General features: G+C 45.5%; 1 long non-coding RNA gene across 1 annotated transcript; it reads left to right on the top strand.

Annotated features, from left to right (window-relative positions):
• The first annotated feature begins 9,832 nt into the window (after window positions 1-9,832).
• LOC107984693 (uncharacterized) lies at window positions 9,833-23,880 on the top strand. Its single transcript, XR_001750862.1, has 3 exons — window positions 9,833-9,943; window positions 11,321-11,457; window positions 23,533-23,880. It is a non-coding gene; the product is annotated as an uncharacterized LOC107984693 (long non-coding RNA).
• The last annotated feature ends 1,014 nt before the right edge of the window (window positions 23,881-24,894 follow it).

Consider the following 24,894-nt stretch of genomic DNA (forward strand, 5'->3'; position numbering starts at 1 on the left):
GTTATCTCGGGTGGGGTGCAGGATATTGACTGGGTAGGGACCTAAGGGAGCCTCTGGGAGTACTAAAAATGTTCTACACCTTGATCATGGTGGAGATATTAAGTATGTTCATATTTGTCAAGTTGTGCACTTGAGGTTTATGTACTTTACTGTCTGTAGGTTATACCTACATTGAAACTTATTTTTATTTATTGTTTTTTGTTTTGCTTTGTTTTGTTTTGTTTTGTAGAGATGAGGTCTCCCTGTATTGTCCAAGCTGGTCTCAAACTCCTGGGTTCAAGTGATTCTCTTGCCTCGGCCTCCCAACATGCTGGGACTATACAGGAGAGAGCCACTCTGCCTGGCCTGAAACTTACTTTAAAACACAAGTCAAGAGGACGATCATCAAATCCAAGTGTGAACAGGGGACAAAGGAGTCATTTTCTTTTTTTCGTCCAGGCACCAATAATAGTTGCCTGGTACATAGAAGGCCTCAGTAAATTATTGTTAGAGGAATGAAGGAAAGAATGGCATCAATAATATTCATGAAAAAAATGCACCAACTCCTTATAGAAGGGAAGAAAATGGAAAGGAAATGGAAAATGAAGCTAGACAAAACATTCAGATTAATAAATCACGAATATCCATTTATCTATCCAATTTGGGGAAAGCAACAGAGTGCTAGGCAGCCATGATTATAATACCAGCCCCTGTTTTGGTTGACAAATTAATCTGCCCAGGGTTTGGGAAGTGAGGCAGCATCTCAGTATATCATTCCACAGGCCCAGCAGCCTCATCTGATTTCAGGAGAATAGATGGAGGCTGCCTGATTTTCATGTAGATTGTTGGAGAGCTGAATGTAAATTGATGTAAATCAGGGAAACGGATCAGCGGCCACGGCACCTCATTCTCCATCATGGGGCCTCTCCTGTGCACAGACTAGCCAGTGGCTCTCTGGGTACCTTACCAATCTGAGCCGGGCAGACTTCTGGGGGCAGGGAGGACCCAGGAAGCCAAAGGGGCGGTTGTGTAGGCTCTGGGAGCCCTTGAGGAAATAGCATTTCCCCAGGAAAGATATCTATGACAACCACCAGCTCTGTAGCTCTCGGTGAGTGTCTCAGACACATCTCAGGCCTAATCGACACACCCTCAAGCCAGCAATGAGACGATGGTTATGATTTTTATAAAGGTAATAAATGTTCATCGTAGAAGACTAGCAAACTCAGATAAGCAAAAAGAAAAGAAATAGCCACCCACAAATCCACAATTTTCATGTGTTGCAATGTGAATGCAGATATTAGGTCTGTGTATAAAATTTGTGTTTTCAGTTTGCCATTTTTAATTGTTTCATTCCTTCAGCTCCATGTAATAAATTTAGAAATCGAATAGGGATAAATGAGTTTATCCAGAGGTAGATTTTCTATGGTTAATGAAACAAACTTCATAGAAAGCCTCACTTGCTTGGCCCCTTCCTAGGCTTTGTACCTAAATTTGCATTCATAAATTTTGTATTCTTTTCCTTAAGGAGGACTTTCCAACTGTCCAATCTCTCTGCTCCACAAAATCCGATTCCATGCCTGAGTTTAATCACAAGCCAGTGTTTTGGGCTGAATGGCAACCCCCCAAAATATATGTCAAAGTCCTAATCCCTGTGCCTGTGAATGTGACCTTATTTAGAAATATTGTGGGCCTTTGCAGATAAAATCAAGGTAAGGTGAAATCATATTGGATTAGGGTGGACCCTAGTCCAATGACCATTGTTCTTATAAAATAGGGAAATTTGGGAGCACACACAGGGGAGGAGACCATGGGATGACAAAGGCAGAGATGGGAGTGATACATCTATAAGTGAGAGGATGCTAGGGAAGGCTACCTGAGCATGTCTAGAACTACCAGGAGCTAGGAGTGGCAAGGAAGGAGTTCCCCAGGGCCTTTGGAGAGAGCATGGCCCTGGCAACACCTTGATTTCAGACTTCCAGTCATCAGAACTGTTAGAAAATAAATTTCTGTTGTTTCAAGCCACCCAGTGTGTGGTATTTTGTTATGGCAGCCCTAGGAGACTAAGGTAGTCAGTGACCCCTAGCGCTTGCTGAGCACCAGAATTACTGGGGAGACTGAGGGATGCCACAGGAGGCTGTTAGGTAAGGGAGGACCCAGGGCAGTGGAAGGGAGCCTATCAGTGGCATGCCCTTGGCTCACGGCTGAGGCCACCTCCCCAGTCAGCAAATATTCCCACAGGCAGTGCTGGATCAAAAAGAGATACCCGTTCTTGTTATATGATGTCTCTTTTTCTCCAATGACCCAAGGAAAGGAAGGCCTGTTTATTGAGTATCTACTAAAAGTGTTAGGCCCTGTGCTATGTCTTCACTTTGGTCATTTATCTGCATCTCACTATAACTCCCTGCTATGGTTTGAATGTGTCCCCTAAAGTCCATGTGTTGGAAACTTAACCTCCAATGCAAGAGTGTTGAAAGGTGATAATTTTAAGACATGATTAAGAGGATTAATGTCATATCACAGGAGTACATTCCCGATAAAAGGATGAGTTTGGCCTCCTTTGTGTCTCTTTCTCGTGCCCTTCCACTTTCCACCATGGGCTGACACAGCAAGAAGGTACTCTTCAGATGCAGCCTCTTGACCTTGGACTTCCCAGCCTCTAGAGCTATAAGAAATAAATATTTGTTCTTTATAAATTATCCAGTCTCAGGTATTCTGTTATGGAAGCATGAGAAAGACTAAGATACTCCCTAAGATATAAATAGCATTATCCTCATTTTACTGACAAGAATTTGGAAACCTCATACATTGCTGCTGGGAATGTAAAATGGTGCAGCCACTGTGGAAAACAGTTGGGTGATCCCCCAGTGAGTTAATCATAGAGTTACCATATGACATAGCAATTCCACTCCTAGGTATAGACCCAGAAGAACTGACAACAGGTGTTCAGAAAAAAAATCCTGTATGTTAATATTCATGGCCGCACTATCTACAATGGCTAAAAGGTAGACACAACCCAAATGTTGAACAGCAAATGAATGGGTAAAGAAAATGTGGCATATCCACACATATGATGACATATGGTTCAGCCATAAAAGGAATAAGGAATGAGGTATTGATGCACACTACAACAGGAGTGAATGTTGAAAATATTATGCTAAGTGAAAGAAGCCAGACAGAAAAAGCCACATACTGTATGATTTGTTTTATATGAAATGTCCAAAAATACATCAATCCATAAAGACAAACCACAAATTGGTGGTTGCCAGGGGACAAGGGAAGGGAGGAACGAGGAGTGACTGCCTAACAGATACAGGGGCCTCCTTTTCAGGGATGATGACAATGTTTTAGACCTAGATAGTGATGGTGCTTGCACAACAATGTGAATATATTTCATGCCATTGTATACACATTAAAATGATGAGTTTTATGTTATGTGTATTTTATCACAATAAAAATTTTTCCAAAAGAATTGTCAGTGGATTTCTCCTGCTGCTGCCTGTTCCTTCTCCTCCCTGTCCTAGGCAAACTTCTCAGAAGAGCTGTACATACAGGCTGTCTCCTGTTGCTACCACCCCTCACTCCCTGCTCCCCTCCAGTCTGGCTTCAGGCACCATGGCTTCTGGAAGATGTCCCATTAGATGACTGTTGTCCTTTTCCACTTACCTGACCCTCAGGCATCACCGCACAACACACACTACTCATGCAGACAGCACACACACACCTTTTCCATTTGAAGTAAGCTGCTCTCTCCGAAGGCTGTTTTGTTCCTGGTGCAGCTCCCTTGACGCTGGAAACTTTCAGACTGACAACTCAATGCTGACCTTGAGCAAGGTTTTATTCCTCAACAGGAGAGACAGGCCCGAGCCCAGCAATTATGGGCTGATGGCCGTCAACCTAGCTCATCCAGGGGACAGAGATTCTCGCCCAGGCAGGCATCCGTTGCAGAATATATATTCATGAGAGTCAAAAGGTAATTTGCACATGTCTTAAATTGCACCCTACCTTTCTCCATCAATTTTCTTCTCCTGCAGAAGGTAAAATTAAAGGCTTCAGAATATTATACATTTTAGTAGTTACCAGGTGACAGGGAATCAAGGTGTCAAAGTTATTGACAGGCTGGCAGGTTGAACTTGGGCTTGGGATATCCTTTATCACAGCTACAATCAGAGCACTCTGTAACCACATCTCAGGGACAATAGCAATTAATTTAGAGAAAATGCAACCACAGTGAAAACTATGAATAATTTTATTAATACTTGTGCATCTTCTGAACACTTTGAGCTCTTTGGGGTTCAACCTCAGTGGCAATCCGAGGAAATACAGTACAGGGGTTCAGAATGCTGGCTTTTCCACCAAGACAACCTGGGCACAAGTCTCAGCTCTGACGCTTACCAGCTATATGGCCTTGAATTCATCCATTACCTCTCTGAGGTTTTGTTTCCTCTCCTGTAAAATGGGGAGACTAATAGTTCCTATAGCATGAGGACTTTTATGACGTTAAAAGGAGTACATTTCTTCATCTGAGAAATTTGCTAGGTACTGTAGTCAAACCAGGCAAGTCCCTGGCCTTGTGCCATCTGCATTCTAGAAATACTGAAAGCACAGAGCTGGAACAGGGTCTGATTTCCTATAGCCCTTAGCAAGTGCTAGTTAATATTATTATGAAGAACATGTTTTCCTTTTTGATGGTATAGAGCACAAAGTATACAGTTCAGTAATTTTAAAAAAATAGATTATTTTTTTAAAACGGGTTTAGGTTCACAGCAAAATTGAGCAAGAAGTATAGAGAGTTCCCATGTACCCCCTACCTCCACAAGTGCATAAGATCCCCCATTATCAACATCCACCTCCAGAGTGGCACATGTGTTACAATTGATGAATCTCACCGACACATCGTCATCACCCAAAGTCCATACTTTATATTAGGGCTCACTCTTAGTGTTGTACATTCTATGGCTTTGGGCAAATGTATAATGACATGCATCCAACATTACAGCATCATTCAGAAGAGTTTCACTGCCCTAAACATTCTCTGTACTCTGATTCTTCATCTCTCTCTCCCCACAACCCTCAGCAATTGCTGATCTTCTTGCTGTCTCCATAGTTTTGTCTTTTCATACACACACACACACGCACACACGTATTTTATATAATAAAAATATATTACATGTAATAAATATATATTTTTGAGACTCTGGTCTTGCTCTGTCACTCAGGCTGCAGTGCAGTGGCAGGAACACAGCCCACTGCAGCCTCCACCTCCTGGGCTTAAGGGATCTTCCAACCTCAGCCTCCCATGCAGCTGAGACCACAGGTGCATGTCACCATGGCTGGCTAATTTTTTGATATTTTTTTAGAGATAGGGTCTCACTTTGTTGCCTAGGCTGGTCTCAAACTCCTGGGCTCAAGTGATTCTCCCACCTTGGCCTCCCAAAGTGCTGCAACTACAGCCATGAGCCACTGCGCCCAGCCTTTGCCTTTTCTAGAGTGTCGTTACAGTTGGAGTCCTGTAGCATGTAGTCTTTTCAGATTGGCTTCTTTCACTTAGTGATAGTCATTTAAGGTTCTTCCAGGTCTTTCCATGGCTTGATAGCTCATTTGTTTTTAGTGCTGAATAATATTCTGTTGTCTGGATATACTACAGTAAACTGTAGTACATTTTTCCTGTGTGCATACCCAGGTAACACCATATGGATCAAGAGACAGGACATCCCCAGTCCACGCCAGGCTCCTTTGTGTGCCCTCCCAAAACATGACCACTCTTCTCACCTGCATCACCAAGGATTCCTTTTCCTATTTTAAAACTTTATATAAATAGAATCTTACACGATTCCTCTTTTATGTCTTGCCTCATTCAACCTTATGTCTGACAGATTCATCCATATTGTGTGTAGCAGAGTTCATTTTTTTCATTGCCGTACTGCATGAAAAACTGTCTATTGTGCATTATTTCTTAGAATATAAACATATTCTATAGATTAGACACTGTGCTACGTGCCAGAGATACAGAGCTGTGCCCAGCGCAGGCCTTGTGCTCAGAGAGTACACAGTTTAAAAGTTGGATGTGAAACATCCTCCAATTTTCCCAGTATGAACTGTCTCATAACATAAATCCAAAACAGGGAGTCATACTCTATGGAAACACTGTGCGGGAGGACATTTATTTATTTAAATATCTGAGCTCCTACAAGGTGTCAGGCCCCATGCAAGGTGAGTAAGGTGGATAAGATATGCTTCCTGATCTTGTGCAGCTTATGGCCTGGGGCCAGGGGAAGAGGCAAGTTGCAAAGTGAGGTGTCCTATAATCAAGGAAGAGCAACAGGCTGTTCCTGTTCCTCGACTGTTCCCAGTAGTCTGGGAAGTCAGGGAAGGTGGAGTACACATTGTTGGTGGCCTGGTCTACAGATAGTCTCTCCTTCCTCCTTCCCTCCCATCAGCTAAGTAGTCTTCCTGCAGCAATATTTTACAAAATATTTCAAACGTGGTGGCCCTGTATTCCCAGAAGTTTGAGCCTCACCCCTGCTCCGGAAGATGAACTCTGATTGGTCCAAGCCAATCCAGAGGCATCCATTCTTTCACAAGCCATGGTTAAGCCAGGGGCATGTGACACAATTCTGGCCAATTAGAAGTGAGGGGAAGTCCTTTGGCGTGGGTTGGGGGTGGGAGGTTCTGGGAAACATTTTCCTCACTAATTAAAAAAAACAAACAAAAAAAGAAAACCTCTTCGGGGAGGAATTATCCCATTTTCTGCCTCTGGTCTTCATCATCAGTAGGTGACACTGTCTTAGAGCCCATTAAACTGCCAGCACAATTCACCTAGAATTGCTTCATCTGTGACTTTTGGTTCTGTGTGATAATAAAGTTTTTGTTGTTGTTTATATCACCTTTTGTTGGATCTTCCCTTATTTGTAGGCAAACACATTTCAGTTGGTAGGAAAGTCTTCTTAAGGGACATGATTTCTAAGCTAAGCATTTAAGGATGCCCCTGAGTGAACCAGGAGGGAACTCCACGGAAGGGATGACCAGTGATTTAGCCTCCAAACCAGGACGCTGCACCAGAGAGCGTGGACTTTGCTGATGATGACCCTGGGACAATGGACCTAAACCAGCTCTGCCCCTGGTGACATGGGACATATGGACCCCCTGCCCACAGCTAGAGCTCAGGGTGAGCCGAGACACAAAGCTGCTTCTATTTTTAATTTAATTTTATTAACAAACACAGCTTGCTTGCACTGTGCCAGACATCGTTCTCAGCGCCTTATAAATATGAACCCAGAAGGTGATCCTGAGAGTGGTCAGGATACAGGAGGATAGGGCAAGAGCTGGCTTGTAAGACCATGGTGGCTTCATCCAGGTGGAGGTATGTAAGCAAGACCTGGAGGTGGGACGGGCACACCAGGCAGGAGGCACAGCTGGAGGAAGAGCAGGAGATGCTCAACAATTGGCAGAAACTGCAATCCAGTCAGAGCTTGGGGTGTGCAGGGAGGTGGGAGAGAGGCCACACCAGGCAAGGTTGCAGGAGTCAAGACTTTGTCTTGGAGACCTCTAAGGGTCTGAGCAGCAGTTGCAGATGCAGTTTTTGAGAGATCCAAAGCTGATATAATTTGAGCGATTCCCCTTAAGAAAAAAAGCATACAAAAGTATGGGTCATGGAAAGGCCCCATTCAAGTAAGAGGCCCTGAGCTTACGCTTCACTAGCATGGCAGTAAATCACCTCCAGTGAGAAGAGATGTGACATAGTCACAAGCGGGCCTTAGAGAAGCAGTGTGGTCACCATACAAGCTGTAAATGTGAGAGAGAAAGACGGGAAAACCATTGATGACAAAGCATGGAAAAGAAATTGGGGAACTACATTTTGCATCCCGTCGGAAATTTTCAGTTTGTGTGGTCAAAAGAGAGGTCTTTGGCCAGCACAAGGAGATTACAGGGAAAGGGGATGTGGCCTGACCTGGGACATGTTCCATCTGCCCACCGGATCCTAGTCTCTCCCTCTGAGGGGGTGAGGAGAACTGATGATATACGGCCTTCCACCTCTGTCATTTGGTAATTTAAGGAGGCACAGAAAGCCACCTGAGGCCATCTTGGGTTCTGAGACTTTTTCACTGGAAGTGACTTTATTATAACATAAAACATTGCTGACAGGCGGGATACCCTAGATCACCTAGATCAGTTTCCAAAATCCAGCTGGTTGTCAGAATTTTCGGGGAGTTTAAAATCAAAAACATTTAAAAAAAGAAGAAACTACATCCAGGTGCCCTGTGTGGGGCCACGGGCCATGATCAGTAGACCAGGGGTGGGGAGCCGTTGGCCTGGGATGGGAGTTTCACACCAGGCCTAAGATACTGTGATGGTTAATTTTATTTTATTTATTGTTATTATTATTATTTGAGACGGAATCTTGCTCTGTCACCCAGGCTGGAGTGCAGTGGTGCAATCTCGACTCACTGCAACCTCCATCTCCTGGGTTCAAGCGATTCTCCTGCTTCAGCCTCCCGAGTAGCTGGGATTACGGGCGTCCGCCACCATGTCCAGCTAATTTTTCTATTTTTGGTAGAAAAGGTGTTTCACCATGTTGGTCAGGCTGGTCTTGAACTCCTGACCTCAGGTGATCTTCCCGCCTTGGCCTCCCAAAGTGCTGGGATTACAGGCGTGAGCCACCGAGCCCATCCTGTGATGGTTAATTTTATGTGGCAACTTGAGTGGCCACGGGGCACCAAGATTAAACATTGTTTCTGGGCGTGTCTATAAAGATGTTTATGGATGAGATTAGCATTTGAATCACCAAGCTTGCTTAAGAAGATGGCCTTCCCCAGTGTGAGTGGACACCTTGCTATCCACTGAGGGTCTCAATAGAATGAAAGGCCAAGGAAGGAGGAATCCCCTTCCTTTTTTCTTTCTCACTGCTTCAGCTGGAACATCTCATCTCATCTCATCTCCTGCCCCTGGGCTCTGATTTCCACCACTGGGTTCTATAGTTCTCAAATATTCAGATTCAGACTGAATCACACCATCAGTTTTTCTGAGTCTCCAGTTTGCAGGCAGCCGATTGTGGGACTTCCCAGCCTCCATAATCAGTGAGCCAATTCCTTGTAATAACTCTACGACTGTCTGTCTGTCTATCTATCTATCTATCTATCTATCTATCTATCTATCTATCCATCCATCCACCTCCTATTGGTTCTACAGTTATTTTTTAAACCACTGCTCCGGAGCCAGAGCTCTTAATGTGGAATCCATGGAACCAGGGGTCCTTGACTGGGCTTCCAAGAGTTGGGGAAGTTTCTGGAATTGTAAGCAGAAATCTGTGTGCATTTGCATATTAGAAGAACTCATGGCTTTCAGCTATTCTGAAGTTTTCCTGGGGCTCCTCCCATAAAAGGGTAAGAATTATAGTACAGCTCTTCTCAGACAAATGTGCACATGTTGATCTTGTTAAAACGCAGATTCTGGCTGGGCGCGGTGGCTCACGCCTGTAATCCCGGCACTTTGAGAGGCTGAGGCAGGCGGATCACCTGAGGTCAGGAGTTCGAAACCAGCCCGGCCAACATGGTGAAACCCTGTCTCTACTAAAGATACAAAAATTAGCTGGGTCTAGTGGCAGTTGCCTGTAGTCTCAGCTATTTGGGAGGCTAAGGCAGAAGAATTGCTTGAACCCTGGAGGCAGTTGCAGTGAACAGAGATCGCGCCACTGCACTCCAGCCTGGGTGACACAGCGAGACTCCGTCTCAAAACAAACAAATAAATAAATAACAAAATAAAATAAAATGCAGATTCTGATTCAGGAGGTCTTTGGTGGAGCCTGAGATGCTGCATTTCTCACGCGTTCTCAGGTGATGCTGATGCTGCTCGCCCATGGATCACACTTTGAATAACAGGGCTGAAGTCTATCCTGTCCAATAATGAAGACACTGGCCACATGCAGCCACTGGGTTGTTGAAATGTCACATCCAATCTGAGATGTGCTGTAAGTGTGAAATACATGCCAGATTTCAAAGACTTAGTACCCCACGAAGATAAAATATCTCCTTAATAATTGCTACATTGATTATATGTTACAATGGTAACATTTCGGACGTATAGGGTTTAAAATATATCATTTATGTTCATTTCACCTGTTCCTTTTTACTTTTTAAGAATGTGGCCAGTAAAAATATTTAAATTACATAGATGACTTGCACTTGTGGCTCGCATTCTATTTCTCTTGATTATTGATGATTAAATGGCAGCCAGCTCAGGAATAAAGAGATGGCATAGGGTAGTAGAAAGAGCCCCAGAATTTGGTCCTGGGGCAAATCCTAGTGGTACAGCTGAACAGCCTAGAGACCTGGATCAGTTGCTTTCCCATCCATACCTGAGTTAGTCAACCAGTATAACAGAGGTTAGGGGAAGGGTCACTGAAGGATCCTCTCAGGTCTCAAGAGCCATATGGCTTCTACAGAACCTCACCTCCCTAATGCAGCATCACACAAACAGAGGGCTGTGTAGTGGTCAAGGTACGAGGTCTGGGGCAGACTGGCTGTGTTCAAGCCCTGGCTTGCAAGTTACCCCATTTGACCTGGGGCAAGATGCTGCATCTCTCTCTGCTGGGCCTTGCGTTTTCCACTTGTAAGATGCATATAATGATCGTGTCCATCTCACAGTCTTGATGAGGGGAATACATGAGCTAATCCCTAGGAAGGCTTAGGCCATAGCCTGGCATATGCAAGCCCTTCACTAATGGATACCAGTGTTTTCTATTAGTCTATTTTCATGCTGCTAATAAAGACATACCCAAGACTGGGTAATTTATAAAGGAAAGAGGTTTAATCGACTCACAGTTCAGCGTGGCTGGGGAGGCCTCAGGAAACTTACAATCATGGCAGAAGGAAAAGCAAACACATCCTTCTTCACATAGTGGTATGAAGGAGAAGTGCCAGAGAAAGGGGGAAAAGCCCCTTATAGAACCACCAGATCTCCTGAGAACTCACTCACTTACACGAGAACAGCAGCAGGGGGTAACCGCCCCCACGATTCAATTACCTCTCACTGGGTGCCTTCCACAACACATGGGGATTGTGGGAACTACAATTCAAGATGAGATGTGGGTGGGGACACAGCCAAACCATATCATGTTTTATTACAAACCAGCTTAAAATTCACATTCTATCCCTTCTGTATGAGGTGAGCTCGGCCTCTGACTTTGCCAACCCTCAGGTTCCTCTCTGTAAGATAAAAATATCATTACTTACCGACACGTGAATACGACAGTATATGTGAAGTGCCTAGCACTGTGCACAGCTCGTGGCAGGCCCTGAATAAATGGCAAATCATTGTCCTCTTCTGCTCCTTTCTGTTATTTTAGTGTCTGTTCCTGGGACCAAGAGATGCTGTGTTTGATCAAATCGGATGTCCCTTCTTCAGGGTATTGCTTCTCAGAGCAGCCAAGGGTCGAGCTTAGATGCCCTCTCTCACCAACATGGAGTCCGGTAACAGAGCCAGGTAAACTTTCAGCTTGAACCTTCTGGGAACCTATTTTATGCCCCATGCAGAATTTGATCAAAAATTAAAAGAAAAAAATATTGTTGTGAACCTGTTCCCACAGCAAGAAACCTCATGGACGGCCGTGGCAGGTAGTAGCACTATTTTATTCATTTGCAAGGCCTGGAAACTTTAAAATTTCACTTGGAGGCTGTGTCTTTGCCTCCTCTCCTCTCTGGGTTGTGTGTTTGGGTCTCAGTTGTAATATATTTTAGGTTTGCAGCTCCACATGACATTTCTGGTTTTGTTTTGCCCGACTGATGGAGTCCAGAAGGCTAAACCGTCACCCTGCATGGGACATTGCATCTCTGAAGTAGAGTTGCCCAGCGGAAAGGCCTGGAAAATGATTTATGGGTGGTGGGGAGTCGCCTTGCATGAAATAAAGGATGGGCTAATGGGCTGGTCCCCACTCGGGAAAGAGTGTTTTCGTTCCAGGAAGCTGAGGACCACAACTATTTCTGTCGAGCAGGCTTGGCAGTTCATTTCTGCAGGGCTTTCACAGAAGGTTTCAGGGCTCATCAACTTTTCCAGGCTTTGAAGCAAAAGGCGGCTGTGGTGTGCTGGAAAGCTCGCCAGCATTGTAGCTGAGAAATCTGGCTTCAGGTCCCAGCTCTGCCTCTTGCTACCTGGCCTCTGTTTCCTCATAGGTAAAATGGGGACAGTAATACATTGCTCCTGAGTGACCGTGGGGAGTCAGGGGCATAATGTGTGATGGTGTATCCAACATAGAACAGCCGCTTCATAAACATGTGTCAAATGGAAAACCATTAGACAAGTACACACAGTGTCGGGGAAGAATTAGTAAGAGAAAATTTCCAAGCTCTGTGGCTGTGAGAAAAATGCCAAGATCTCTGAATTCAAGATGCCCATTTTGAATGGCCCTGGGGAAGGGCTTCCTGAGGGTTGACTACCATGAGTCCCGCTGTGGTTGTGAGCAGAGGAGACAGGCCTGCTGGCTCAGGGCTGGCTGTGCTGGAATCTTTGAGGACTGTCCCATATAGATGAATTAGCGCATTTTATACTGGCTCAGAAAAGACAGCTGTGTGTTCTGTGCCCACTGGCTGCCTGTTTTCCTTACTTTGTTCAAATGGCTAATTACACTCCAATATCCGTTCTCTCCTTTTTTTTTCTTCCATCATTATAAACCATACAGCTGCGCCAGGCACAGTGGCACACACATGTGTTCCCAACTACTCTTGAGACTGAGGTGGGAGGATCACTTGAACCCAGTAGTTAGAGACCAGCCTTGGTAGCATAGTGAGACCCTATCTCAAATAAATACATAGGCTTGGCACAGTGGCTCAATCCTGTAATCCTAGCACTTTGGGAGGTCGAGGTGGGAGAATCACTTGAGTCCAGGAGTTCGAGACCAGCCCTGGCAACATAGTGAGACCGGTCTCAATTTTTAAAAATAAATAAATAAATGAAATAAAATAAAATAAAATGAATAAGTGAATATGTATATGCATCCCTATGTACATACCACAAACTCACGCATCTGTCCACCCACACTCACAGTGAACACCCTATTAGCCGGGCTCTTGCTACCCAGCTGGACCTTCTATATTTCAGCCTCCCTTGCAGCTAGATGTGCCTTTGGGCACATTTGGCCAATTCTGGCTAGAGCCAAAGCAAATGGGCACATTTTTGCTAAGACGAATTCTGTAATGGGGGAGTAGTTTATCTCACATGTGGCCTCAGAGCAACAGGATTTTTTTTCTCTTGGGACTAAAAATTGCTTATTGTTTTATTATAATTATAAATGCAGCACATGCTTATGGTAGAAAATTTGGAAAGTAATGATAAAATTAATTTATAATCTCATCAGATATAGGTAATCCCCATTAATTATTTGAGGAAATGTTCTAGTAATTGTGTCTGAATGTTTCTTTGGCACAAGAGGATTCCTACCAGACACTTAGTTTTGTATTTTGTGTGTTTTTTTAAATTCAAATTACCTTAGGAGGCTGAGGTGGGAGGATCACTTGAGCCCAGGAGGTTGAGGCTGCAGTGAGCTATAATTGTGCCATGGCACTCCAGCCTAGGTGACAGAATGAGCCCCTGTCTCAAAAAAATAAATAAAATAAAATAAAATAAAAACATTGTGAAACTTTTCTATCTTTTGAGCAAAGGAAGTACAGATGTATATGATGTAAACTAATCCAGGTAACAACTGCGAAGTAGGAATGAGATTATAATAGGAAAATAAATAACCCCCCAGTGGGGTTTAGCTTCTTTAAAGTGGAGTTATCAAGTCAAAGGACTTGCCTATATTTAAGGCTTTTAATATATCTTGCCAAATTTCCTTCCAGAAAAATTGCAACACAGCACATTCCCACCAGCAGCATATGATAGTAGGCCCTACAATCACAGCCTGGATCAGGGAGAGGTAGGGTCACCAGTCCCCTTCCCTGCCTGCTGTCCCCAGAGGGCTTTTTAAACCTCATTTGGTGAAGACGACAACATGGTTCACCGAGAATGGCAGACACCTGTACTACAAAAGGGTCCTACACACTGTTAGGGAGCCGTCTAGCAAGATTCCATACCGCACAGGGGCCACCGGGGCTGCTACACGGATTTCTAGTTTCCTCTTCACCAAGGCACCCGTGAGTGCTCTTAGCCAGAAGTGACCAAGGGGCTGTCTGGGGACCTCGCCCTATCTAGATGTTTCATCCTCCACAGTCTGCATTTTCATTCCACACTGGACTGCTCTGGCTCGGTTACTTTTTCTTTCCACCCCCAGAGACGGAATCTTGCTCTGTCACCCGGGCTGGAGTGCAGTGGCATGATCTCAGCTCACTGCAACCTCCACTTCCTGGGTTCAAGCAATTCTCCTCCCTCAGCCTCCCGAGTAGGTGGGTTTACAGGTGCCTGCCATGGCACTCAGCTAATTTTTGTAGTTTTAGTAGAGAAGGGGTTTCAACATGTTGGCCAGGCTGGTCTTTAACTCCTGACCTCATGATCTGCCCGACTTGGCCTCCCAGAGCGCTGGGATTACAGGCGTGAGCCACCACAGCCAGCTAGTTACTTTTATTCACATATTTACTCCTGATTTCTGCCTAAGATCACTTTTTAAATTATTATTATTATTTTTTGAGATGTAGTCTTGCTCTGTCGCCCAGGCTGGAGTGCAGTGGTATAATCTCGGCTCACTGCAAGCTCCGCCTCCTGGGTTCAAGCCATTCTCGTGCCTCAGCCTCCAAAGTAGCTGGGATTACAGGTGCATGCCTGTCTAGTTTTTGTCTTTTTAGTAGAGACGGGGTTTCACCATGTTGGCCAGGCTGGTCTTGAACTCCTGACCTCAAGTGATCTGCCCTCCTCGGCTTCCCAAAGTATCGGGATTACAGGCGTGAGCCACCGCACCTGGCCCCTAAGATCACTTTAAATCCAATTCTTGTTAGGCATATTACGAAAAAGGGCAGTCTCTTTAGCTATCATCTGCATAAAGTCTGCCACCAGGGACTTAAGTCATGCACTCATCCCTACATTCATTCATTTTTTTATTCAACATATGTAATGCCCACCTCCTATGTGCCAGGCATAATGAGAAGCACAGTGGTAGACAAGACATACATAGCCCCTTTCCTCATGGAGCTTATTGCGTGGCAGTGGAGCAACATAATAGACAATAGACAAACAAGATAATATATAATTACCAAACTGTGCGACATACCATAAAGGACACAGATAGACCCCTGTGAGAGTGCCCGCCCAGGGTGGGTGGATCTAGTTCAGAGGAGTGGGCAGGAATGCCTCTCTGAAGAGACCTCTCTAAAGGTGTTTAAACTAAGACTTGGAGGATGAGAATGAGAACGGGATGATTGGGGGAAACATATTCTCGACAAAGGGCACAGCATGTCCTTGAGATAGGAGAGTGCTTGGAGCTTGTAATGGATGAGAAGACGAATAGGGTGACCGTGGTCATAGGTGGGCTTGGAGCAGAGGGCAGTGAGCAGTTTTCCTTTTCTTCTAAATCCAGGCCACTGAATGGTTTCTAAGTACAGGCAAATAGAGGGAACAGGGCCCTCATTCCCATTTACAAATGAGCACATTCCCATTTGTAAATGGATTAGAGAAAATGGAGCAGGAGAGTGGCCTGGCTGGACTATTGCAGTAGTCCAGGAGAGACGGCTGACACCAGGATGTAAAATGAAGCCAAGAAGAATTTTCATGGCATCTTGTCCAAGCCATCCTATCAGGCATCATGTAGCTCTGGAGCCAGATCAGGCTGGCAAAGGGGCGGCGGGTGCTGTCAGTTTTTTACACAAAGTCAGCTGCCATCTACAAACAGGGTAACAGAGTGCCAGACAGACCTGAGACCCTCCCTCATCTGTGAAGGCCTTGAACTCCATTTGTAAAAGAGCAAAATCCCTCTCCACAGGCACATGTAATGTTTAAAGGGAAAACCCCAGGAGCGGGCCTATTTCGACCTGTTCTCAGTTGTTGATGCCTGAGTGGAAAGGAGTTTCTGAGACCTGACCTTAGGCAAGTCACCCTATTCGTATGGATCTGTTTCCTCACCAATGAGATGAGAGGGTTTGTCTCTTCCCTCCCTTCATCACTCATTCATTCAACAGCCCGCCCAGGTGCTGGGGAGGGAGATGAGTGAGATCCCATGAAGCTGAAACTCCAGCAGGCCTCTTCGGTTCCTGTTAGTCTGTAGAAATCACATCACTGGTTTCCTCATTTTGCTGAGGACCTCCCTGAGTCCAGGGAACTTCGGAGCATCACGCTCGAGTCTCCTTCCCAGGGCCCTGTCGCCCCTCCTCCCAGCTCATCTGATAGGTCCTTTTCACCGGCCTAGACTCCTCCTGGGGGCTTTAGCTCAATGTCTGGACTACAATGGAGGTTAGAAGCTCACCCCGATTTACCAGGCTGGTGTGCCCCAGAAACACAGGATGCTCACTCAGACACCTGGAGTTTGTGACAACTGCCGAGCAAAGTGACATTCCTGCCTCCGGGACCCATTCTCAAACCATTTCCACCTCGCTCCCCCCAGCCACCTCCTCAAAATCCCCCCCCTTGCAGCAGCCTGGTCTCTGCGCAGGCCAGAATCTGGTCCTAAGTGATTGTCAGTGAATTTCCACAGCCTGAAAACACTCACACAGCGACCAGGGCTAATGCCAAAGCTTGTTAATATGGATCTAACGTGAATTCTTTCTAGAAGGGTCTTGCTCTACAGGCCAAAAACCTGTTGGCTTTTTTTTTTTTTGAGGGGAAAAATGAAATGACATCAAAAAACAGAAAGAAAGGGAAGACATTGAACAGACACTGAAGGCCTACTGTGCACCAGTGGATTTTATATGCGTTAACTTTCTGGTAGCCCATTTTAAAGGTGGGCCTTTTGAGCCTGGGAGAAGTTTGCACGGGAACGGTCAGCCAGTAAGTTTCAAGACTGGGAATCAAATCACGCTTGTTTGTCTCCAAAATTTTCCCTCTTTACTACCTGGCACTCAGATGAAAACAGGCCTGGAGTAAAGACGGATGGCATTTTGGACATGGCCTCCATATCCCATATGGCTGCTGACTAGCTCTGCTTAATTCAGTCAATAAATGTGAGTCGCTGCATGCCCGGCCCAGGGGGCAGAAAGCTTCCCAAGATATGTGCCCTGCTCCACAGAGCTTATAACTAGCAGAGACGTAAGATAACACGCAGCAGGGAAAGAAAAGAGAATGTTGAGGAACCTGGTTCTAAGTAAAAGAATGGAGGCAGCGGGGTGATATGGCTCGCACCTGTAATCCCAGCACTTTGTGAGGCTGAGGCAAGAGGATCACTTGAGCTCAGGAGTTCGAGACCAGCCTGGACAACATAATGAGACCTTGTCTCTACTAAGGAAAAGAAAATCAGCCAGGTGTGGTGGCACACGCCTGTAGTCCCAGCTACTCAGGCTGGAGGCTGAAGTGGGAGGATCACCTAAGCTTGGGAGATCAAGGCTATAGTGAGCCACTATTAAGCCACTGTATTCTAGCCTGGGCGACAGAGTGAACCCTGTCTCAAAATAAATAAATAAAAATTTTAAATAAGATGGAAACTCCCAGGGACCCAGGAGTGGTCCTTTCTGGGTATGTCGCAACTCAGATTTCTTTCCTTGGGAGATTTTCTCTTTGATTTTCAGTAGGAAGCTACCCCTTCCATGAAAGGAAATTAACGTGGCAAAACCTGCCCTTCAGGAGAACGATATGTTTTATAGTTATCTGGGAACACAGCTCTGGCTGAGGACGTGCCTCCCGGCTTGGGTGTGCTCCAGGGCGAGGCCTCTCTGGGTGGAATTTCGCCAACACGCATTTTACAGAGAACGTGAGGGAAATCTATCCCGAGGTTTATTTCTGCAGAGTCTGTAATAACAGGGAAAGACGTCCATGATAGGTTTTAAAAAAGAAAGGAAGGAGTGGAGGGAGGAAGGAAGGGAGGGAGGAAAGTGTATTCATTTTCTCTGGCTGCATAACAAGTCACCATGCATTTAGCAACTTGATATAAGTTCATTACCTCCATGTTCCTGCGGGTCAGGAGTCAAGGCCCAGACCTGCTGGGTCCCTGCCAAAGGTCTCCCGCAGCTGCAGCCCAGGTGCTGACTGGGGCTGTGTCTCATCTGGAGCTCCTCCAAACTCATTCAGGTTGCTGGCTGTTGGATGGGAGAGGTGGGGACCACTCTCAGCTCCCAGAGGCCACCACACCTTGCCACAGGCCACCCCCCGCCCCTTTAACCCAAAACTGGAGAGCCTCTCATACATTGAATCCCCCCCACGCAGTTCAGCCCCCACACTCCAAATCTCTGCCTTCTCTGTCTCTGATCTCCTGACCCAGATTTTTTTTTTTTTTTTTTTTTGAGATGGAGTTTCGCTCTTGTTGTCCAGGCTGGATGGAGGGCAATGGCACGATCTCGGCTCACTGCAACCTCCGCCTCCCCGGTTCAAACAATTCAAGATATCAATATAGATATCTGGGAACACAGCTCTGTCTGAGGACATGACTCTCTGCTTGAGTGTGCTGCAGGGCGAGGCCCCTCTGGGTAGAATTTTGCCAACACGCTTCAGCCTCCCAAGTAGCTGGGACTACAGGCTGCCTCCGCCACACCCAGCTAATTATTGTATTTTTAGCAGAGACAGGGTTTCACCATGTTGGTCAGCCTGGTCTCAAACTCCTAACCTCAGGTGATCCACTCACTTTGGCCTCCTAACCAACATGCTGGGATTACAGGCGTGAGCCACTGCACCCAGCCTTTTTTTTTTTTTTTTTTTTTTTTTTTTGAGACAGGGTCTTACTCTGTCGCCCAGGCTGGAGTGGAGTGGTGTGATCAGAGCTCACTGCAAACTTCACCTCCAGTGCTCAAGCAATCCTCTCACCTCAGCCTCCCAAGTAGCTGGGACTAAAGGTGCGTGCCACCACGCCTGGCTAATTTTTTGTATTTTTAGTAGAGACGGGGTTTCACCATGTTGCCCAGGCTGGTCTTGAACTATTGGGCTTAAGTGATCCGCTCCACTCAGCCTCCCACAGTGCTGGGTGTGAGCCACTGAGCCAGGCCTTCTGACCCAGATTTTAAGGACTCATCTGATGAGGCCAGGCCCACCAGGATATCTCTTAACCTTAAGGCAGCTGACTTGGGACTTTAATTACATCTGCAAGATTCCTTCACAGTAACACCTAGGTTTGTGTTTGATTGAAGAGCTGAGAGAAAGCCTATGTCCACCAGGGGCCAGGAATTTGAGGGGCTCCCTGAGACTTCTGCCTACAAGACAGACAAAGCGAGATGGAGAGAGAGAAAGAAGTCAAGATTGAATCTTAGGAAAGTAAGATATTATAAAGGTGGGCCAGGCGTGGAGGCTCCTGCCTGTAATCCCAGCACTTTGGGAGGCCGAGGCAAGCAGATCACCTGAGGTCAGGAGTTTGAGACCAGCTTGGCCAGCATGGTGAAACCCAGTCTCTACTAAAAATGCCAAAATTAGCTGGGCATGGTGGCATGTGCCTTTAGTTCCAGCTAGTCAGGAGGGAAGCTGAGGTGGGAGAATCACTTGAACCCAGGAGGTGGAGGCTTCAGTGAGCCGAGATCGTACCACTGCACTCCAGCCTGGGCAACAGAGAGAGACTCTGACTCAAATAAATAAAGAAACAGGTGGAAAGCAAATAAAAAATTTAAAAAAAAAAAAAAGAAGTTGGGAAGTTCCCTGATGGAACAGGCTCCAAAGAGGCTGCTGTTTGGTGTGGTCTGTGGTGGAGCATGGAACAGTAGGTTAAGAAACACAGTTGTTGCAAGGGCCAAGTGGAGACCCTGCCCACCCTCCAGCATACAGAGATCCCTGCAGACCATCCACACTTCCCGGAGCTGCAGTCCAGCACCCAGCATGTGAAACTGGCCAGATGGGCACAGCTGTGGTCCCTTGTCAAAGCAGCATAGCAGCCGGACATCATGGAGAACCCCCACCTCAGTGCCCAGCTGGACTTTGCTTAGCCACACGAGCATTTGCTTAGCTAAGAGTACTTGCATTTCATCAATGAGGCCAAGGGTGGGGTCCATCTCTCCAAATGGACAGTCCATCTGATTCATTATCTTTTCTAGTTGCCTGAAGCTCTCTCATTTAAGTAGAAAACTTTTTAAAAAAGAATTTAAAGTGACAACTTGCCTTGTTTTTCTCTTCCTTCAAGTGCAATATATATTCATTGTAGACAGAGAAGAAGAAAACACAAATTAACAGAATGATAAAATACTCCTACACATAATCCCATCCTAGAGAAAACTGCTTTTAGAAACTTGTATATATTTTTGTCCAAAATGGGAGGATATTATAGGCATTGCTTTATAACTAATTTTTAACTTATTGTATTGAGAAGTTCATTGCATATCAGTATTTTTCTACCATTGTAGATATATCATCATTTATTTCACCAGTCTCCTGTTGTAAATAACGTTGCAATGAACATATGAAAACTGTCTTAATTGTTCCTTAGAATCAATGCCTGGAAGAGGGATTAGTGGAGTGAGTAATCTTGTGTCTCAGTTTCTTCACCTATAAAATGAGGATAGTAGTAGTATACATGTCCAAGGAAATGGAAGCAGTTAAGTGAGAAAAAAAAAACATATAAAGCAATTTAAACAGGGTGCAGCACAGAGGAAATGCTTGATGAAAGTTGGTGGTTAGCAGCACCTTTTTCAAAAACATGCTTGTTAATGGAAATGTTTCTAGCATATATCACATACAGGCACCAGCCTAGCCAATGGCAGAACCTGGGCGTCCACATGCCCACAGTGGTAAAAGTCCAGGGTCCCTGTGGTTATCTCCAAAGATGGCCACCATCAGTTCCCCTTCCCTGAGAGGGCATGCTGCTCCTCACAGCAATTTCCCCTCCAGTTGAATTGGATATGGCCTTTCGACTTGCTTTGGCCAACAGAACTCAGCAGAAATGACTGTGCACCAGACCCAGGACCAGCCTTTAGAGGACTGACAATTTCCTTCTCCCACTTAGAAGCAGCCACGTGTATAGGTTCAGCTACTTTGAGACCATGATGCTGTGGTCCATGCTGGCCATGTGAGAGAGAGATAGATGCCCAGGTAACCCCAGCTGGTCCAGCCACACAACCGAGGAGCCAGACACAGGAGTGAAGATGCCATCTTGATGTTTCCAGCCCTAGAAGAGGCCATGTGGAGCAGAAGAACCACCCTGCTGAGCACAGCTAATAAATGGCTATTTAAACCACTGAGCTTTCATTGAGTATTCCACAATAAATAACTGAAACACCTCCAACAATCTTCAGGTGAACTTCTGCGTATACCAAGAATCAATCCTGGCTGTTCTTGCCCAGATGGGAAACTGAAAGCTGGACCCTGCTCTTTGAGGCCAGAGGCCCCCACACCCCACCTGCATGTTGTTGCTGTAATCAGTGGTTCATCCTAGGAGTGCTAACCATCTCCCCAGGGGGACATGAATTTTGGATTTCTGTGGGTGGGGTTGGTTGTTACAATAATTGAGGAGGGAGGATAAATGTCATTTCTTGGGTGGAATAGGTGCCCCTGAGGCATGGGACAGTCCCAGAGAACAAAGGATTGCCCAACTAGGCATTCATTGAAGTAAAAACCATTATGCAATTAACCAAACTTAGAGGCCTGTGCTGAGGGTGATTTTGCCTCCTAGGGAACATTCAGCTTTTCTTTGAGACAATTTTGTTTGTCACACTGTGGGAGGGGGTGCTCCTGGCATCTGGTGGGTAGAGGCCAGGAATACTGCTAAATACCCTACAATGCGTAGGACAGCCCCCATCACAAAAAAATGGTCCTGCCCCAAATGTCAATAGTGCTGGGAAATCCCGACCCAGAGCTTTACTCTGTTTTATGTATAAATGTAGTCTTTTCTACAAGTTTGTGATATACACTAAACTTTTCTGGAGTTAAACTATGGAATTAAACTACCATAAAAATCAATGAAACTTTAGTAAAAAAAAATCATCCACCTTTCAGAAAAGCACCTATCTGGGCACCAAGGCTTTTTCTGTGTGAGTTGCCAGCCCACACTGGCTCTCACATTAACAGCAGTTTGCCCAGTAGATGCAAGCCCTCCCCTGCCTCACTGTGTCTTCCAGTGTAGTCAAGCCCAAGCATTTACTTACTGAAATGCACACCATTTTTATTATAAATCCTTTTCTATTTCTTCTTTCTCTAACAGGTAGGGCATTCTAATGATTTCTAAGATTTTGTATGTAGTTAACTTATGTGTGTAGTGCTATAAGACTAGGGATTTTTATTTCAGAATCATAAAGGAGAGGCTACAAAATATTTTAGGATAATAGAGGGGAGATGACACTAGTTGTTAGAAGGTGACATTGAGTCAGACAGGTGGAGGACTGTTTCTCGAGAACATATCATGATGCTGTCCCCAAAGCCATAGACAGACTTGACACTGAGCAAAAGCGACACTCACCTCCCCAAAGAAGGCACCCTGGCAGAAAAATGAGGTGGGCACAAGCTGAGCTCCCTGAGAGGAATCACCACTCATGGGGGTGCCCAGGTCATGAAGGGGCTCCTCCAAGCTCCAGGTGGGCTCATTGTCCCTCTGTGTCCTGTCCATGCCAACGAAAATCCCAGGACCCCAGCTTCACTTAGACACCACCTTCCTCAAAGCTCTCCTGCATCAGAATCACTGGAATGGGACCAGTCCTGGGATCAGTGGCCTTACCCACCAGAGCCACCATCCCATTTCCACCTGTGCAGAAGCCTCTGCAGGCCCCCTCTCTTCACGTTACCTAGGGGGAGCTTCCCCACTTGGCTGCATTACTCTGGCCATTCTGTCCCTCTGCCTACAGACCCAGTTCACGTTCAAGGTCCAGTTTCCCAACTTCTCTGCCTCTTCATGCTTTTGTTTATTTGGTTATTCTATTTGTTTTTGTTTTTCTGTTTTTTGGGTTTTTTTGTTTTGTTTTGTTTTAAGACAGTGTCTTGCTCTTTCATCCAGGCTGGAATGCAGTGGCGTGATCTCAGCTCACTGCAACCTCCACCTCCAGGGTTCAAGCAATTCTTGTGTCTTAGCCTCCCAAGTAGTTGGGATTACAGTCGTGTGCCACCAAGCCCAGCTAATTTTTGTGTTTTTAGTGGAGATGGGTTTTCACCATGTTGGCCAAGCTGGTCTTGAACTCTTGGCCTCAAGTGATCTGCCCACCTCGGCCTCCCAAAATGCTGGGATTACAGATGTGAGCCACTGTGCCTGACCTATTAGTTATTTTTAATAACATAATAAGCACCTGCCAATACCACCCAAGGCACAGTTAAGATCTCAACAATACATGCCATTTAACAATATGGTCTTTCCCACAACCCCACCCCCAGTCTTGCATTCAACATTACCTTGCTTTCCATTTAATATAGTTTTATTGCCTATATGAATTCCCATAAAATATATTTATTTACTTTACTTACATGTAAATGTATTCAAAGGGTATTATACCGTATGCAATCTTTGGGGCTGTTTTATTTTACTCAATATTATCTCTTTTAAAATTTCATAGTATACTGCTAAAACCCATTTGTGTTTTGCATTCACTCATTTTCCAGGTTGCATCATATTCCATCCCGAGCACATTCTGCAGCTCCACCCCGGACCTGTGTTTGGCTTTGGGGAGCTGTTAGGGCCTTGCTCTTGTAAAGATTGCTGCTCTGAACAACCAAGGAACTCTTGTCTTCCAGGAACTTGGATTTCTTTCACACACAGATGCAGAAGAGCGTCTCTTACTTGGCTCTTCCTGGAGAGCAAACTGAATGGAACAAGCCTACACCTTTCTAGTTGATTTGAGGTTGACATTAAGATGGAAAGAGCAAGTGTTCTGCTGCAGAAAGAACTTGCCATGGCCCTGCTCCGCCTTGTGCCAGCAGTGACTCTAAGTGAGTCATTGTCGTCTTGGAACCTCAGTTCCTTCATCTCTGCATGGGGGACCATGAACCATTCCTCTCAAGGATATGTGAGTTTCAAGATGCTTCCTGCACCTCCAAGTGAAGCACAAATGGCCCTGGGGAGCAGGTCCGGGTTTCCCTGGGGAACAGAGCATGACTTCCCAAAAGATTGTTGGGCCAGAGTGGGAGTGGTGAGGGGCTAGATATTTTCATGTAAATCAAACACAACCATGCTAGGTGGTAAGAACAGTATATACATGCAAGTCTCAAGCTAAATCAGCTGTAAACATAAGAGAGGCAGCTTGTGGGCCATTGGTTTCCCCAGGACAGCAAGGGAGCCCAACTCTTAGACTCTTACCTCCGAATAAATCTGACCACCTGTCTACTCAGTGTCGCCATTCTTATTGATTGATTGATTGATCGATTGATTGAGATGGGGCCTTGCTATGTTGCTCAGGCTGGTCTCAAACTCCTGGACTCAAGCGATCCTCCTGCCTTGGCCTCCCAAAGTGTTGGGATTACAGGCATGAGCCACTGCACCCTACTGGCATCTCCATTCTGATGGGACCGTGTCAGGCATCTTAAACTGAGTGTATGCAAAACAGCCCAGCCTCACCCTGACCTCCAAACTTGACTCTCCCCCAAGGTTTTCTCTACCTCTGAGCAACCCCCAACCTCATGCACAGCCAGTTGTAACCCCAAGATACAGTCAGTCCCCAAGGCCCTCAAATTTTGTCTCAGGTGCATCTCTTCCATTTCATTTTTACTTCTGCTGTACTAAAAAATAATAAAAATAACAGTAAATAAATATATAGAGATGCTTCTTAAATGCTGGGAACTGTTTCAAGCATTTTGCATATAGCAATTTATTTAACTGGATTATTGTTATTGTTATTATTACTAAGCCAATCCAAAACCCAAATTTGTAAAAGGCAGAATTGGGATTTGAACCCAAGGAATCGGGCTCAGAGCCCATGGGTATGAACACCATCCTGTACTGCCCCCTGCATGTTCCCAGCCTAGAAA

This window comes from Homo sapiens, chromosome 14, assembly GCF_000001405.40.
Source record: "Homo sapiens chromosome 14, GRCh38.p14 Primary Assembly".
Classification (NCBI taxonomy): Eukaryota; Metazoa; Chordata; class Mammalia; order Primates; family Hominidae; genus Homo; species Homo sapiens.